The sequence below is a fragment of the Homo sapiens genome, chromosome 7, assembly GCF_000001405.40.
Source record: "Homo sapiens chromosome 7, GRCh38.p14 Primary Assembly".
NCBI classification, from domain to species: Eukaryota; Metazoa; Chordata; class Mammalia; order Primates; family Hominidae; genus Homo; species Homo sapiens.
Window position 1 is genome coordinate 22,705,428 of NC_000007.14, and position 18,502 is coordinate 22,723,929.

At 43.4% G+C, this 18,502-nt stretch overlaps 1 annotated feature.

Moving 5' to 3' along the window:
• Positions 3,414-4,050: an enhancer, noted in NCBI's record as "NANOG-H3K27ac-H3K4me1 hESC enhancer chr7:22748460-22749096 (GRCh37/hg19 assembly coordinates)". NCBI's record gives its function as "activates a minimal SCP1, AML or CMV promoter by ChIP-STARR-seq in naive H9 embryonic stem cells {active_cell/tissue: H9 hESC(naive)}" and the evidence as "EXISTENCE:reporter gene assay evidence [ECO:0000049][PMID:30033119]".

Consider the following 18,502-nt stretch of genomic DNA (forward strand, 5'->3'; position numbering starts at 1 on the left):
CACATCTCCAGCACACAAGAACTTCCAAATACCTGAACCACAGCAGCCAGGCGTTCCTCCAGAACCTCCTCCCCCAGGAGCTTGCTACAAGTGCTGGAAATCTGGCCACTGCGCCAAGGAATGCCCACAGCCCAGGATTCCTCCTAAGCCGTGTCCCATCTGTGCGGGACCCCCAAGAAAATCGGACTGTTCAACTCACCTGGCAGCCACTTCCAGAGCCCCTGGAACTCTGGCCCAAGGCTCTCTGACTGACTCCTTCCCAGATCTTCTCGGCTTAGCAGCTGAAGACTGACACTGCCCAATCACCTCAGAAGCCTACAGGACCATCACAGACACTCTAGGTAACTCTCACAGTGGAGGGTAAGTCCGTCCCCTTCTTAATCAATACGGAGGCTACCCACTCCACATTACCTTCTTTTCAAGGGCCTGTTTCCCTTGCCTCCATAACTGTTGTGGGTATTGATGGCCAAGCTTCAAAACCCCTGAAAACTCCCCCACTCTAGTGCCAACTTGGACAACACTCTTTTATGCATTCTTTTTTAGTTATTCCCACCTGCCCAGTTCCCTTATTAGGCCGAGATATTTTAAGCAAATTATCTGCTTCCCTGACTATTCCTGGACTACAGCCACATCTCATTGCCGCCCTTATCCCCAACCCAAAGCCTCCTTTGCGTCTTCCTCTCATATCCCCCAACCTTAACCCACAAGTATAGGACATCTCTACTCCTTCCCTGGCAACGGATCACATGCCCATTACCATCCCATTAAAACCTAATTACCCTTACCCCGCTCAACGCCAATATCCCATCCCACAGCACGCTTTAAAAGGATTAAAGCCTGTTATCACTCACCTGCTACAGCATAGGCTTCTAAAACCTATAAACTCTCCTTACAATTCCCCCATTTTACCTGTCCAAAAACCGGACAAGTCTTACAGATTAGTTCAGGATCTGTGCCTTATCAACCAAATTGTTTTGCCTATCCACCCTGTGGTGCCCAACCCGTACACTCTTTTGTCCTCAATACCTTCCTCCACAACTCACTATTCCATTCTTGATCTTAAAAATGCTTTTTTCACTATCCCCCTGCACCCCTCGTCCCAGCCTCTCTTTGCTTTCACCTGGACTGACGCTGACACCCATCAGTCCCAGCAGCTTACCTGGGCTGTGTTGCCGCAAGGTTTCAGGGACAGCCCTCATTACTTCAGCCAAGCTCTTTCTCATGATTTACTTTCTTTCCACCCCTCCGCTTCTCACCTTATTCAATATATTGAGGATCTTCTTCTTTGTAGCCCCTCCTTTGAATCTTCTCAACAAGACACACTTCTGCTCCTTCAGCATTTATTCTCCAAAGGATATCAGGTATCCCCCTCCAAAGCTCAAATTTATTGTCCATCCATTACCTACCTTGGCATAATTCTTCATAAAAACACACGTGCTCTCCCTGCCGATCATGTCCAACTGATCTCTCAAACCCTAACCCCTTCTACAAAACAACAACTCCTTTCCTTCCTGGGCTTGGTTGGATACTTTCGCCTCTGGATACCTGGTTTTGCCATCCTAACAAAACCATTATATAAACTCACAAAAGGAAACCTAGCTGACCCCATAGATCCTAAATCCTTTCCCCACTCCTCTTTCCATTCCTTGAAGACAGCTTTAGAGACTGCCCCCACCCTAGCTCTCCCTGACTCATCCCAACCCTTTTCATTACACACAGCCGAAGTGCAGGGCTGTGCAGTCGGAATTCTTACACAAGGACCGGGATCATGTCCTGTAGCCTTTTTGTCCAAACAACTTGACCTTACTGTTTTAGGCTGGTCATCATGTCTCTGTGCAGTGGCTACTGCTGCCCTAATACTTTAGAGGCCCTTAAAATCACAAACTATGCTCAACTCACTCTCTACAGTTCTCATAACTTCCAAAATCTATTTTCCTCCTCACACCTGACACATATACTTTCTGCTCCCCGGCTCCTTCAGCTGGACTCACTCTTTGTTAAGTCTCCCACAATTACCCTTGTTCCTGGCCCAGACTTCAATCCGGCCTCCCACATTATTCCTGATACCACACCTGACCACCATGACTGTACCTCTCTTATCCACCAGACATTCAACCCCATTTCCCCATATTTCCTTCTTTCCTGTTCCTCACCCTGATCACACTTGATTTATTGATGGCAGTTCCACCAGGCCTAATCGCCACACACCAGCAAAGGCAGGCTATGCTACAGCACAAGCCACTAGCCCACCCCTTAGAACCTCTCATTTCCTTTCCATCGTAAAAATCTACCCTCAAGGAAATAACTTCTCAGTGTTCCATCTGCTATTCTACTACTCCTCAAGGATTATTCAGGCCCCCTCCCTTCCCTACACATCAAGCTGGAGGATTTGCCCCCACCCTGGACTGGCAAATTGACTTTACTCAACATGCCCAAGTCAGAAAACTAAAATACCTCTTAGTCTAGGTAGACACTTTCACTGGATAGGTAGAGACCTTTCCTACAGGGTCTGAGAAGGCCACTGCAGTCATTTCTTCCCTTCTGTCAGACATAATTTCTCAGTTTAGCCTTCCCACCTCTATACAGTCTGATAACAGACTAGCCTTTATTAGTCAAATCAGCCAAGGAGTTTTTCAGGCTCTTAGTATTCAGTGAAACCTTTATATCCCTTACGGTTGGTCCTCAGTCTTCAGGAAAAGTAGAACGGACTAAAGGTCTTTTAAAAACACACCTCACCAAGCTCAGCCACCAACTTAAAAAGGAGTGGACAATAATTTTACCACTTTCCCTTCTCAGAATTCAGGCCTGTCCTCAGAATGCTACAGGGTACAGCCCATTTGAGCTCCTGTACGGACGCTCCTTTTTATTAGGCCCCAGTCTCATCCCAGACACCAGACCAACTTAGACTGTGCCCCAAAAAACTTGTCATCCCTACTATTTTCTGTCTAGTCATACTCCTATTCACCGTTCTCAACTACTCATACATGCCCTGCTCTTGTTTACACTGCCGGTTTATACTGTTTCTCCAAGTCATCACAGCTGATATCTCCTGATGCTATCCCCAAACTGCCACTCTTAACTCTTAAAGTAAATAAATAATCTTTGCTGGCAGGACTATGCTGAATCTCCTTAGGCACTCTCTAGTCAAATGTCCTAGGTCCTCCCAATTCTTAGACCTTTAATACCTGTTTTTCTCCTTCTCTTATTCCATTTAGTTTTTCAATTCATACAAAACTGTATCCAGGCCATCACCAATAATTCTAAATGACAAATGTTTCTTCTAACAACCCCACAATATCACCCCTTACCACAAGATCTGCCTTCAGCTTAATCTCTCCCACTGTAGGTTCCCACACCGCCCCAATCCCGCTCGAAGCAGCCCATTATCTCTCCATACTACCCCCAAAAATTTTCGCCGCCCTAACACTTTATCACTATTTCGTCTTATTTTTCTTATTAATATAAGAAGACAGGAATGTCAGGCCTCTGAGCCCAAGCTAAGCCGTCATATCCCCTGTGACCTGAACGTACACATCCAGATGGCCGGTTCCTGCCTTAACTGATGACATTCCACCACAAAAGAAGTGAAAATGGCCTGTTCCTGCCTTAACTGATGACATTATCTTGTGAAATTCCTTCTCCTGGCTCATCCTGGCTCAAAAGCTCCCCTACTGAGCACCTCGTGACCCCCACTCCTGCCCGACAGAGAACAACCCCTTTGACTGTAATTTTCCTTTACCTACCCAGATCCTATAAAATGGCCCCACCCCCATCTCCCTTTGCTGACTCTCTTTTCAGACTCAGCCTGCCTGCACCCACGTGAAATAAACAGCCTTGTTGCTCACACAAAGCCTGTTTAGTGGTCTCTTCACACGGACGCGCATGAAAGATACTGCCCCTCATAGTGCCCGGCCATTGCATCAGGAGGAGAAATCCTCTGAGGTGTGATAAGGCAGGAAAAGGGCCTGGATTTAGGGGCTGAGGACACTTTAAGCTACCTGGTGGCATGGGAGTGTGCACAAGTTCCTTTGTTCCCTGGGGAGAGGCACAAAAGAGGTCTGGTAGTGCTCGCTGATCAGTTTACAAAGGAGGTCTCCAGGCAAAGGGCATGGGGGAGTGAGATTGACCCAACCTTGCTGAGAGCTCCCAGGCCTGCCCCCACCCGGGGAATCACAGGTGGACCCAGTCAGAGCAGGCTGACAGAGTACAGGCCTCAAGGCCACTCACTGAAGAAAGTAAGAGCAGATGCCACCAGGCTGACCACAGGACAGTGTGATCTGCGTTCCACCACAGGTATCAGTAAGTGTCCAGATAACTTCCCCAAAGTGCCAGCTTTGGAAAGAGAAGGTGGAGGAGCGGAGCGCTGAAAGATGCAGCATTTCCTCGAAAGGAGCTGTGTCGAAGCGAAAGGAGACAGTAAAGCAGAAGGGACTGGGCTCCCATTAGCGAGCAAGGCTGGACTTCCCTGCTGCCCAAAAGGAAGGACTTATAAGAAGAAAGATAACCTATCAGTTAGAGCAAAACAGAGGTGCTGCCCTTTGTGTATCCAAGTGTAGGGAGTGAATTAATCCGTGACCCACTATGCAAAAACATATTACATAAAACTCCCAGAGCTCTTAGGAGAGGTTGCCTCTGAGAAGCGGAACTGGGGTCAGTGGATGTGCAGGTGGTAAACCTTATTGCTTTTGTAATAGAAAATGTGAAAATGTTTTAAATAGACCTCACCAGAAGCACTCGTAATACAAAATTAAATAGTCTCACTTCTCATTATACCCTATTTCTACATAAAATTCTAAATGATACTTTGCTGGAAACCAATGATTTCTTCTTTTTTATTTATTATTGATGAACTCTACAGTTCCACATCCAAACCAAAAGGGACTCAAATGTTTCAAGTTTATCACATTTAAATCTCACTGAAACAGCAGTATCAGATTAACTCTTGCATAACACGTATCAGAACTGATTCCTTACATAAGGGGCTGTCCATTCATTAATTCCATAAATATTTTTGAGGGCTTATTATGTACTGGGAACATTTATAAGGACAGGATACTGTGGTGAATAAAACAAAGTCCCTGTTCTCAAGAAGCTTCTATACTAGTGAGAGAGATAGACAATGAACATGCATGCAAATGGATAAATAATATAACCTTAGCTAGTGGTAAATGCTGTGATAAAAGTAAACCAGGGTAAGGGAAAACAGAATGAAAAGGGGTAAGGATTATCTTGAACTGAATTGTTGTTGGAATCTTTTTTTTCTTAATTTATTTATTTATTTATTTTTGAGACGGAGTCTCGCTCTGTCACCCAGGCTGGAGTGCAGTGGCCCAATCTCAGCTCACTGCAAGCTCTGCCTCCCAGGTTCACACCATTCTCCTGCCTCAGCCTCCCGAGTAGCTGGGACTACAGGCGCCCGCCACCACACCTGGCTAATTTTTTGTATTTTTAGTAGAGACGGGGTTTCACAGTGTTAGCCAGGATGGTCTCGAGCTCCTGGCCTTGTGATCCAACTGCCTCGGCCTCCCAAAGTGCTGGGATACAGGTGTGAGCCACCGTGCCCTGCCTGGACTCTTAACAATTTTCACTCTAAAATGCCTTTAGAGGGCCAGGCGCGGTGGCTTACACCTGTAATCCCAGCATTTTGGGAGTTCGAGGTGGGCAGATCACTTGATGTCAGGAGTTCGAGACCAGCCTGGCCAACATGGTGAAACCCCTTCTCTACTAAAATTACAAAAATTAGCCGGATGTGGCAATGCGTGCCTCTGGTCCCAGCAACTTGGGAGGTTGAGGCACGAGAATCGCTTGAATATAGGAGTTGCAGTGAGCTGAGATTGTGCCACTGCACTCCAGCCTTGGTGACACAGTGAGATTCTGTCTCAAAAGAAAAATAAATAAAATAAAATACCTTTAGAGAGTAAAATGACTCTACTTTCAGTACTCTCTCCTTTAAGGTTTTTTAACAACACAAATCAGCAACATAGAAGGAACACCAGTATAAGAAGATTAACAGACAGTACAAATTAGAAATGCATGAAGAAGGTTGGGTATTTATCTGAAGTTCTCTATTGGAATTTTGAGCTTAGTTAGAACTTTGTAGTCTACCCCAAATTACAGGGAAGTGGGTCTTCTTATAGTTGGTGTTATTTTATAAGATAATGAAAGGGAGACTCAGTGAGGTGCAGTGATAGGCCTGGGGCATGGGAGTCGGACCTCAAACTCAATTTCAAACCCCATATTTTAGAGCACTCTGTAGCTACATAAGTTATGAAAGTAGGGGTTTTATTTAAATTCAAATATATTAAGTGAGGAAAGAGAGATGCTGTGATAGAGACCTGAATGTACTTTGGGTTGGCTAGGACTGGTTTTTCTTACTTTTTTGTTTCGTTTTAAAGTCCATACCTGGGAGATGTCGAATCATAAAGATCTGCCTATTTTTCACCACTGGTTCCCCAAACACAGAGAGGACCCAGGCAGATGCACCCTGGGCATTCCAGACATGGTGTGCTGTAGAGGCTGGTAGGATTCTTGTGTCTCCAAGATTGAATTCATTCCCTATGGTTGAACTCTTTATGTCCCAGATCAGACCTGGGAATATTAACTTCTAGAACGTTTCCTAAAATTATGTGTTTTGGAATCTGATAGATTTGAGTGTGAATCGGCTTTATTACCTTCTAGCTATGGGATCACAGGTAAGTTAATTGACCTCTCTGAACTTTGGTGTCCCCATCTATAAAATGTAGATTGTTGATTTGTGTGAATGGATTTGTTCAACATATATTTCTTCATCATTTACTATATGCCATACACTGTGCCAGATACTGGAGATAGGAAGATAAAACACCTTAACCTCACAAAGCGTCCACTGTGGTGGGGGAGACACATGTAAGTCATCATTCTAGTGCCATATAACAATTCTAGTAGACATAGAGAGAGTAGTAGCATCTCACCTGTGGTAGAGGCTTCTACTGCTCACTTATGTCCAATCTCCTTTCCTTCCAGCCTCATGAGAGGATTACACTTCTGTCCCTTGGAGTTAGGCAGAGCCACGGAACAGGGCTGGCCAGTGGGCTGAGAATGGGACTAATGCAGTCACTTCTGGGCCAATACACTTCATAGCTAGCACAATACCCTCTCTTCTCCTGCCACAGCAACCAAGGAGGCTGAGTGTTCTGGATGGTACAATTACAGAATGATGGAGCTTCCATTGGCTCCATCAGGCAAGTCTCTGAAGGGAGTTGCCCAAGTGAATGACCCAGCCCTGCAGCAGACTTTCACCGGCCAAGCAAAAAATTGTATTAAGCCACCAAGATTTCTGTATTTTAAGTCACCACAGCATGATATAGCCTCAGGAATTCATAAGCCCACCTGCAAAAGGCGTTCTGAAAGAGCAGAAGACTGAGTGGGTATTGACTGATGAGTGATAGAAGAGCCAGGGGATGAGGTGGGGAAGGACCATTAGAGCAGAGAGGGAGGAAGAGCAAAGGCCCAGAGGGCTGAAATGGCCGGGTAAGGTGGGTAATTGCAAGCAGTTCAGGTGTACTGGAATGTAAAGAGAAAGGGAGAGGGACAAGAGACAGAGGGAAGAGGTGGACAAAACCAAACTCTGGAAGGCCTTGTGGGCAATATCACTAGCTTGGCCTTTACCATAAAGATCATGTGAACTACGTAGGGTTTTGAGCAGATTGATATGCTTATCTGTGCTTATGTAGAGGAGACATTGGGGCAGAACTAGAGACAGGAGACCAAGATGAAACTAAACAACTTATGGAAAGTACCTACTGTAGTACCTGGCAGACAGAAGTATGTGACTTCCCTTTTCCCTTCCTCAGCTCATATATTAATGTAGTTTTAGAAATTAGCCAAGCCTGGACCTCAGCATTCTTACTTTTAGGACTTGTTAGAAACAGATGCTTTATTGTATAAAAATATGTGTACAGGAATGTCTCTTGCAGCCTTGCCAGCAGAGGTAGAAAATAAAAAATGACCTGGATGTCCATCAAGAGAAAATTGGCTAAATAAGTCGTGTAACTTGCTATGTTACATGCTATCTAAGAGAATAAAGCTATGTTAACTGACCTGGATGGAGTATCCATGGTCTAGAGCTAGGTGAGAAAAAAAAAAAAAAACTTGTAGAGTAATAACCATTGTATGATCTTATTACTATAAAATAAACAAACCAACCTCGATTCTACATATGTAATTAGGATGCCTATTGATATCCTACTGTGTGAGCCCATGGCAGGGTGCCAAAAGTGGTACAAGCTGTTAACAGTGGTCAGCTCACTCAAGGGGCTGGCAATCTTGCCATTGTTACACTTAGCATGTGTTACTTTTATACCTTTTTTTAGTTAATAGGAAAGCTAAAAAGAAAAACACTATCCTAGAGAATTGGAATTGCTAGTGCTTTTCTCATAGAGATTGTTCTCAATTGCAAAGGCATAAAAACCAATCTTTAAGCCAGAAGATTCCTTGCCGAGTTGAAGTTTCCTCTTCTTGCTGGAACACAATTGTTTTTAAATCTAATGTCCCATCTTGAGTGTTCTGTGATTATTAATTACAATGGATTGAACCACAGAATCTCAGAGGATTTAAACGGATCCAGAATTTCAATGCTAATTGCTCTCTGAGAGTAAGCAACGTTCACTTTTAGGAAATGAATTGGCCTTCCCATCAGGATAAGCAAATTACTTTGGGCTGTGGGAAAAAAGGTAACTAATCTTCTAAAAGGATATATTGGTCTTAAAAGAACAAGGATATGAAAATCACACTGAATCATTAAAAACTCCTTAAGGTCAGGGATTAAGGCCTGTAATAGGTTGATGAATTGAATCTAACTTAATTATAAAGCAAAGCACTAACCTCATAGAATACCTGAGTCAAGTTCCCTGTGTTCTCATTTTCTAGCCTCTTCTACCAGACACTATGAAAAATAACAGCCCCATCTCTCCAGAAAATCTTAGGAGATATAGGCGTGCTGAATTTAAGGTGTCTGTGGCACATGCAAGTGGATCAGCCACTGGGCTGTCCAGAATGCAAGAGAGAACTCAGAGTTGGGGACATAAACTTGGCAGTCATCTGTGTAAAAGAGAAAAGGTAGGTAAAGTCCCACAAGGATGGGTTGGCCTACAGAAGGCACAGAGAGAAGAGAGCCTGGTTTAGCATGGGCTACGATCAGAGTCCCTGGGTTCAAATCTTGGCTCCACCCATTTCTATCTGGTTGCTCTAGGGCATGTTACCTAGTTCTTGTAATGCTCCGTTTTCTCATCTGAAAAACCCAGTTGATAGCCATAGCTCCCTTAGAAATATTGTGATGAAAGGCTGGGCACGATGGTTCACGCCTGTAATCCCAGCACTTTGGGAAACCAAGGTGGGCAGATCACAAAGTCAGGAGTTCAAGACCAGCCTGGCCAATATGGTGAAACACTGTCTGTACCAAAAATACAAAAATTAGCGAGGCGTAGTGGTGGGTGCCTGTAGTCCCAGCTACCAGGGAAGCAGAGGTTGCAGTGAGCTGAGCTCTCACCACTGCACTCCAGCCTGGGCAACAGAGCGAGACTCCGTCTCAAAAAAAAAAAAAAAAAGAAAGAAAGAAAAGAAAAGATAAAAGAAATATTGTGATGAGGGCTAAATAAGATAATATACACAGACTTAGAGCACCTAGCTCACAGTGGACCCTCTGAAATGTTCCCTATTACTGTACAGGGCTCGGCTAGAGCAAGGGCCCAGGGAATATCCACCAGAAGGAGGAGATGCAGGGAGAGAGGAGGGAGGCAGGCCAAGCAGGAAGGGGTGGTCAGTAGCTTCAGATGGGCTACAGGTAAGGCAAGCTTAGGACCAGAATGTTTCATTGGATTTAGCCACAAGAGGTCATTTGGAGTGGGTCAAAGCTATTCTGGGTAGAAGCCAAACAGTTTCCAAAGCAAAACAGGCGGCAACACTAGCATTCAGAGAGATCCAGGGACCAAGAATCTTAAAGAAAGGTTTAAAATGGTCAAAATAAACTTGCATTTAATTAACATTTTCATGAGTACTACAGTAATACATAATCAATGCAGAAAACCTGGAAAACAAAGAAAACTACAAAGAGGAAAAGAAGTATTTCTCATTCTACCTTCCAGACATACCTACATTTCTTCCCGTGTATGTGTATTTATATCAGGTGTAACAAGCATAGTTCATCTTGTCGTGTGACAAGCATAGTCTGAATTTGCCCAATATTTCAAAACCTATTATTTAAAGAAACTTGAAGAAAACCTGGAAGAATATTTTCATTGTATCAAAGTAGACTAAATAGGCCATTTTAAGTATGTCACAAAATCTAGAAGCATAAAAGAAAGGATATATAGTCTGCTTCATATAAATCAAAACTTTCTGCATGGCAAAAACACTATAAATTAAGCAGAAAGACGAATGATAAATTTTAAAAGACATGTGAAAAACAAACGTTTGCTCCTTGGAATATATCAAGAAGGGCTTTGAATCAATGGAAAAGGATCAATAACTGACAGAAAGATAGACAACGGATATGAACATAGAATTCACGGAAAACAAAATAAAAATGGTTCTTGAATACCTGACCAGGTGCTCAATCCTACTTATACAAGAGAGATGCAAATTAAAACTACGCTGATATAAGTTCTTCCCTCTGCAATCTGGCAAAGATCAAGAAAACTGACAGTATCATGTGCTGACAAACATATGAGGAACAGCTGTTCCCATACATCACTGGAGGGAGTATTAAATTTGTACAACCTCTACCTGTCTCTGTCTCAAAACTGCCCATATCCTTTGAGTCAGCAATTCAATTTCTAGGAAACTATCACACTAATACACTCACATGTATGAAATCGCACATGGACAAGATTATTCATTGCCGCTTTAGCTGTAATAACAAAAGATTGGAAACAACCTAAAATTCCCTTAATGGGGGACTGGTTAAATACATGGAATTCGAAGGCTAAAAAGGAAGAAGCAATTCTGCATCTCCTGATAAGAAATGATTGCTAAAACCCATTCAATAAAGAAAGCAAAATGTAGAACAGTGTAACTGATGTGCCATCACTTATGTAGAAGAATAAAAATAAATCCTAGGAAATATGAATATTTTGCTAATACATGCATGAAGTATTTCTAGAAGGAATCACAAGAACCCAGTAGTTACCCCTAATGGCTCACACATGGTGGAAGTGTAAATTTTTTTTGTAATTTTGTTACTAAGTACTCTTTGTTATCTTTTGAATTTTGTGCCATGGGTATGTGTTACCTATGTAAAAACTAGAAACTTAACATATAACATTTTAAAACAATGGCTGCGTGTGGTGGCTCATGCCTGTAATTCCTGTGCTTTAGGAGGCCAGGAGTTCACAATCAGTCTGGGCAATATAGTGAGACCTTGTCTCTACAAAAAACAATTCTAAAACATTTCAAAACCAAATGAAATCTATGAGCCACTTTATTTGCCTTTTTTTTTTTTGGTGGTCATTTTGGGTTTTGCTTTTTTTTTTTTTCAGCTGCCTTTCCCCTTCTTGCTTTGTCTATGTTGATGCTTTTCTCTCTTTTTCCCTTCTCCTCTCTGTTTCCCTTGCCCCACCTCTGTCTAATACATCAACAACTAAACAACAACAATTATCATCTACCAACAATTTAGCATATACCAATAACTGTCCTTAATGGATAGGATTTCATTTAATTCCCACAACCACCCCCAGATGGTTAAGTATTATTTGCCACAGTTTACAAATGAGGAAACGCAGGCACAGGGAATTGAAGTGCCTTGCCCAAACCCACACAAGCTGTAAATGATGGAGCTGGGATTTAAACCAAGTCGGCCTCTGCAATCCATGTTTTCTCTAGTAAACCATACTGCCTGTGATATGGAATAAGTACATGTATTTTTTTTCTTAACTTTTGCGTAAAGTATGACCATCTTTGTTTCTAATTTGTAAATCAAATAAGCTTAATATTTTATATGGCTTTTAGAAAGCACATATACAAAGAAAATTTTATAAATTAAACTGTTCTTTACTTCTAAATCTTTGACGATTATTTCCAAGACATAAATTCCAAGGAGATCCCAGCTTTCATTCGTTTACCATCCTGTGCACCAACCACGTACTCAAATTCATGCTATTCCTTCGCACAAGAAAGATAGAGCCCTCAAGAAACTCTCAATCAACTGGGGAGAAAATAATAACAGTATTAATAGCTCATGTTTACTGGGACTCTACCATGTGCCAGGCAGATGCTAAGCACTTTACATAGGTTCTGATAACTCTGTGACATAAGGTGCAACTGCTACCTCCATTTTTAAAATGAGAACAATTAAGCCCAGATGTTAACTTCCCAGCGGACCTCAGCTTAGAAAGTACAGAACAAGGATTTGAACCTAGGCAGTTTGGCTCCAGAGCCTGTGCCATCACAACACTGCCCGGAAACAGATTAGTACAGTACATGCCCCTGCGGGAGAGCCCAGAGGAGAACCTGCACTATTCCTGGAAATTGATCAGCAGAGGCTTCTGGGAGGATCGAGGCATGATTTGAGTCTTGACAGAAGTTCAGAACACAGAGACGTCACGGCATTCTACCCTGCACTGAAACTGTTCTAAAAAGACTGGCATGCTTCGGAGAGAAAAAAAAAAATGTAGCATAGAGTCTCCTGTGACCTGCCTGGGAGCTGTGCCATGCAATGGAACCAAATTTCCTTCAGGGAGTTTTACATTTTACTCAATATTCTGAAGTTTAGCTATCACACAATTAAGTATCAACCAGGTTCCTGTCATCAGTGGGTACTGTTGGAAGAGGACAGGGAATTGGATTTAACAACACTGTTTGTTCTTCTAATGCAACATCGTAGAAATATGTAACAGAACTGTAATGGAGATGAATCACAAGAAGGACGCAGCACAAGATGCTATGCCAAGAATAATATTAGGAGAAGTGACGTTCTGTCATTCTGTTACAGTTAAGAGTAAACTTATGATCCAAGAAGCAGCAATCCTTTAGAGACCCTGAGAACTCTTCAGGGCTCTCCTCGTCCTTTTCACTCAGGGCCCCAAAGCCAGCCTCTTCATTCATCAGCTCTGGATGGGACAGACAGTGACAAAGCAGAAATCCCTAGGCCCCTGGGCTGCTGCTGTGCAGCAGCAAACTCCCTCACTGTGACTAACTTTCTGCTTCTAACTTATCCCATGGCTCAGAAAAGCTGGGCTCAGCCTCTGCCTTGATCCATCAAGCCATGATCCAGCACGTGGCTGGGGAAAATCTGAGCGCATATAATTCTGTAGGACAAGGTGTGTCCTGCGCACATCCTAACTCTCCCTCATTCAGGTGGCAGCCTGTGCCTATCTGTTTATAAAAGTGGCAGCCTTCATTCTGAGGTATAGAAGCAGCATACTTTGACCAGAACAATCTCTTTCCTTAAAAAGCTTTGTGATCAATTGCCTTTGAAATGAGAGAAGATCAAATAATCCTTAATGCCTTTGATACATCCTTTTCTTACACTCCCCAAATAGAGCTCATACAATATAACTAATCTCTGGAATGGATTGATTTTGCCTTCAAAATATCCTTTTATTTCCTTGGACCCACTTATGGTCTGGAAGATATTTAACAACTAGCTAAGGAACAGAGGGAAGGGAGGGCTCTGATTGTAGCATTTGCCAATTTCCATGGTGTAATGTTTCCACACTAATTTCAAGCTACCATCAGGAGTCACTTAATGTAGAGTTGGGAAGAGATCAGTACAGTTGGCTCTCTTGAACCGGCCAGCTCCTGTGCAACCCTGCCTGGGCTCCTCCATCTGGTGTCATGCTGAGATGTTTGCAACAGCCTCTGAGCCCACCTCCCAGACTACAATCCCCTGGGGTCTTCTTCCTGCTCACTCAGATGAAATACTTTCATCATGTCACTGTTCTTCTGACAACCCTACCCCCAATTTACCACCCCATTTTACCTCTTCTCCCAAAGACCAATGAACTTTTTTCATGATTCTGGGTTCCTGCATCATCTCAGGTAAATAAATCATTTAACCTCTCCGAACTTCAGTTTCTTATCCATAAAGTGAGAATAAAATAGTCACCTCCATAGAGTGAAGTTTAAATGAATTAATGTGTGTAAAGCCTCTAGTCCAGCACCTGGCATCCAATAAATACCTGATTAATCCTACATGTCAATTACTCAAAGTACCTTAGAAGGAAAACAATGGTGTCGTTATAGAATTCAAAGGCCACGAATCCTCAAAGGACTTCACTCAGTACCTCAAAACTATTCCACATTGGTGCTTACTATTATATTTTTGATGAGTTCTAGAGAGAGAAGAAATGCTAAAAAACCCAACAGTAGCTCATTTTAGCATCTCAGAATCCTCAAGCAAGACCATGGCCAAACACTCAAACTCCTTCCCTGACCGTTATCAAGAGAAACTCTCTGCTTTGTGGTGGGTCTTGCTTCTGCACCCACAGGAAATGCAGTTTCTCTTGCACAAGTAACACAATCACAATAAGTGAGAGGTCACCTGAGGGAGATACAACCAGACCTGGAGATGGAAAGGAGAGAAATGGTACAAGACTACAAAGTCCTTATCAAGGTTTACATTTTTTTTGCCTTGCAAAACAGACCTTTATAAGAAATGTCAATGTATTAGAGGTAACGGGCCACACAAGATGAGAAAAGATGATGATGCCATCATTCATGACAATTCTCCGTAGGTCCTGCCACCAAGGAAGAGCAATGAGCTACTGATGCCCATTGTGGGGTCCAACAAAAGCATGGTTATGTCCCAGAACCAGCTGAAAAGCAAAGTTCAGCTGAACTGCAAACTCATTTTCATGATGCCAAACAATTTGCACAGCTTGATTTAGGGATTACACTGCTCCATGAACAACTGGTAAGTTAACCCTCCAGGAAACTCAGTGATTGTTTTAAATGCATCTCATCCCCATTAAGATATGAACTCTTTCCCCGCGCCTTAACAAGTGAATTGTGTGCATATGCAGGAGTCATCTGTAAACCTCACTTGATGTTTCCCCTCTGAACTCTGATTGGTATACCTACAGCTATTATTTACTTCACCTCTACTCAGAGTTATCCAGAATGTTACGCATACAAAGGAGTATAAATAGGGAAAGCAGGTTATCAAACGCCGTGGATGGCATTTTCCCATTACACCTAGATACATATGAAAAAATGTACAAACGACTAGAATGATTACACCATAGTGATAACAATGATTACTACTGGGTACTAAGATAATGTATTTTATAATTTTTTCCTTTTGTTTATCTCTCTTTTCTGTTTTCTACATTGAAAATGTATTACTTGTTTTTAAATTAAAAACATTTAATTTGAATACCTCATATGAGTGTGGCCTTACAGGCCTGGGTACCCAGGAAGCCTGGTCTGGCCTGTATAATAATTAAGAAATAATTAATTGTATAATAATTGTGCTTGTATAATAATTAAGAAATCTGCTACCTCCTTTCAGGTAGCAGCCCTTACCAGGGCTCTAGAATCTCCTGAATCAGTTTAGTCTCCCTGAAGCCACTAAGATCTGGGCATGTCAAAATGGGTGGCACCCTGCCCAGTCAAAGCACTTCCACTAACAGGTCCTTGGGTGGGAACTAGAAGACAGCATCAGGCTTTTGGGCTTTCAAAAAGTATTTCTTAATGTAGAGACTCCTATTCCTGTAGTCCCATTAACAGTAGACTCTTGATTAATAAGCATGGCTAATGAAAATCCACAGAATCACAGAACCACAGAATCCTGGAGCTAGGAGGGAATTCAGCAAACCCCTAAGGTGGGAGAGTACTTTGCCCCAAATCCTCAGTTCATCGTCATCTGAACACTTTCATCTGCCAACAGCTACACTCCCAAGACACAAGAAGCCGAGGATTTGGCAATGCAGTAAAAAGACAAGCCTAATTCAGGGAAACCCTACATTCAGCCAAAATTTTTTGCTGGCAGTATAAAACCCCCACTTCCTTCTGAATCCTGCAGTCTAAATCAAGCCAAGAAGGGCAACAGGGCTTTTACAAGCCTGGCCAACCGATTACCCACACAATGTCAGACAGAAACAGCCCAGGACTCAAATTTCCCTCTGACACCTGACCTGCCCCTGACTACATACCTGGTGTCTTCAGTAGTTTCACTGGGCCCATGGTGGACAAACTTAACACAGAGAAAGAATGTGCATGACAGCCTCTCTATTGGTTGTCCTAGAGAGATAGGAGGATCTGAGGCACTTGGTGGCAACTGCTTAGGCAGCAAGCCTCCAAACAAGCCTTTAGCAATAGGAAGCCATTTCCACACATCCAGATCACTTGCCAAGCTGATGGGTGCCTTCCCTCCTGTCCCCACCTCTCCCCGACCCCCGTCTCACCCACAGAAAAGTAGCACATAGAAAATATGGCTTCCAGGGTGAGAGATATAGGGAATCCCACAGTGCCCTTGGGGGACACAGTAATGTGGCTCAGACATAGACCACTGTACAGATCCAGCAGCACAGGAAGGGCTGCAGGCCTGGGAGAAAAGTGACAGCAGATGGCCGGTCCAGGCTTTCTGGGTACCCAGGCCTGTAAGGCCACACTCATATGAGGCAGGCAGCACCCCTTGGAACAATATCTATGGTAGGTCTATAGACCAAGGGCTCTGCTCTGTGCCGCAGACATCCACACACATACATAGGTACACATGACATAGAATTCAATAGCTTGAAGAAATTGCCTATGATTCTTCAACTTGCTTACCTGGATCTGAATTCTTCCATAACATTTTAAATCAATCCAGGTGTACCCATCTTCAGAAATAATGGACCCCAATGTCTCAGAATTACAGAGTCAGAGTCCTCAACATGTCCAAAGCATTTCGTGGAAATTATTCCACCATGAAGACTAGAATGGCCTCTCTTCATGGATTCAGCTTGCTAAGGAGGCTTAGTTCAGAGGGACTAAGACACTCTCCTTTTAGCAAATAACTAACCAAAAGGGCAAGGAAGGGAGGTAAAAGACGTCATAACCAGGCCAGTAGAATCCCCTGGTCTGGCCATTACATGTGATGATTTCAAATGGGTTCTTAGTACCTTAATTTTGAGGGAAAAGAGTAGAGGAAACCAGCCAATGCTTTGCATGCTTAGTTTCTGCTGATGACACTGAACTCAGAGAACTGAGATCTTTGGAGAAACCAAAGATGGCTCAAATGACTCGTGATAATAAATGAACGTATTACTGCTCGCTGACAAATTGAAGTTTCCTAATTATAAAGCAGAACCAGTGGCCACCACCATAGAAAGCCTACCCCACAGATGGAGAAGAGGCAAAGCACTGAAACTCAGTCCGAGGGACCTCCCCAGCCATGGGGGCAGGGCCAAATGGGGCTTCTTCAGGACCAGCAAAGCCATTTTTCTCATCAGCAAACTAGCTTCAGAGAAGTTTGCAATCAGGGCACTCTCTTCCAAGCCTAGAGACCCAGGGAAAGGGGTACGGGGGTGTCCCAAGGCAAAGAGAATCTACACTTTTTGCCCCCGGAGAGGCTACTTCCCTCCCAAGATGCCTGGGATTTTCCACTTCAGCAGGGGGAAGGTAAGTCACATAGCAAAATAATGAGGGCACAGAACAGATGACCTCCCTATAGAGTTTTGAATGAGAAACACAGCAGGGCAGATGTGCCCCTTCTCTAGTCTAGGAGGAGCTAGGTCCAGCCCCTGAACATCCTCCCCCTCAGAAAAGCTGAGGCCAGACTAAGAATTCACCAGACCAAGGAGCTACAACAGGACATCAGAGCTGAGGCTGCAAAGCCAGGACTGAGACCAGACCAGGCAGGAAACTGTCAAGAGCTTTGGTCACCAGGCCTGGCTGCCCTCCAACATCAGCTGGCTCTTTCTAAATTGACACACCACATGTCCCTAAAATTCTCTCTTCAAGTAATACCACCATCAAAGCAGGACATTTCCCAGAGCCTTAGAGCCTGGTGTCTGCTCAGTGGGACTCAACCCCAGAAGAAGCTGTTAAATCACCCACTGTTTCAGTTTACAAACTTCTTACGACTTGGCAACAAGTGAAACTACATTCTGGCAGCAACTGCAAGTTCCCTAGTACCCAGGACTTCCCGTTTTTTCTTGCTGTACTCCCTCCTGTTAAATCACAGACTCATCCATCTCCAACCCCCAGAATATAGAGAAAGAGCACAACACTACATCTTAACTCCTGAGACGTGGAGAACACTTCTCCTCCTGAGAGCTTAAGTACCAAATGGAAGCTACTTTTCCCCCTTGGTCTCAAATGTATTACTAGATTCTGAACTGGACTCCACCATCACGTAAGAAAGCAGTCATGGGCAGTAATTCTGGGAGATCCAGATAGGACATGCCAGCCCCACACTGGTGGCATAGGAAGCCAAGTTGCTGCTTCCTCCCTGTGCACTCCCATTTGTCTGGCCTCTCTTGATCTCAGCTGGCGCTCACTTCACATCAGCTATGATGCAATCCAGCAACTAAAGTATTAGTTA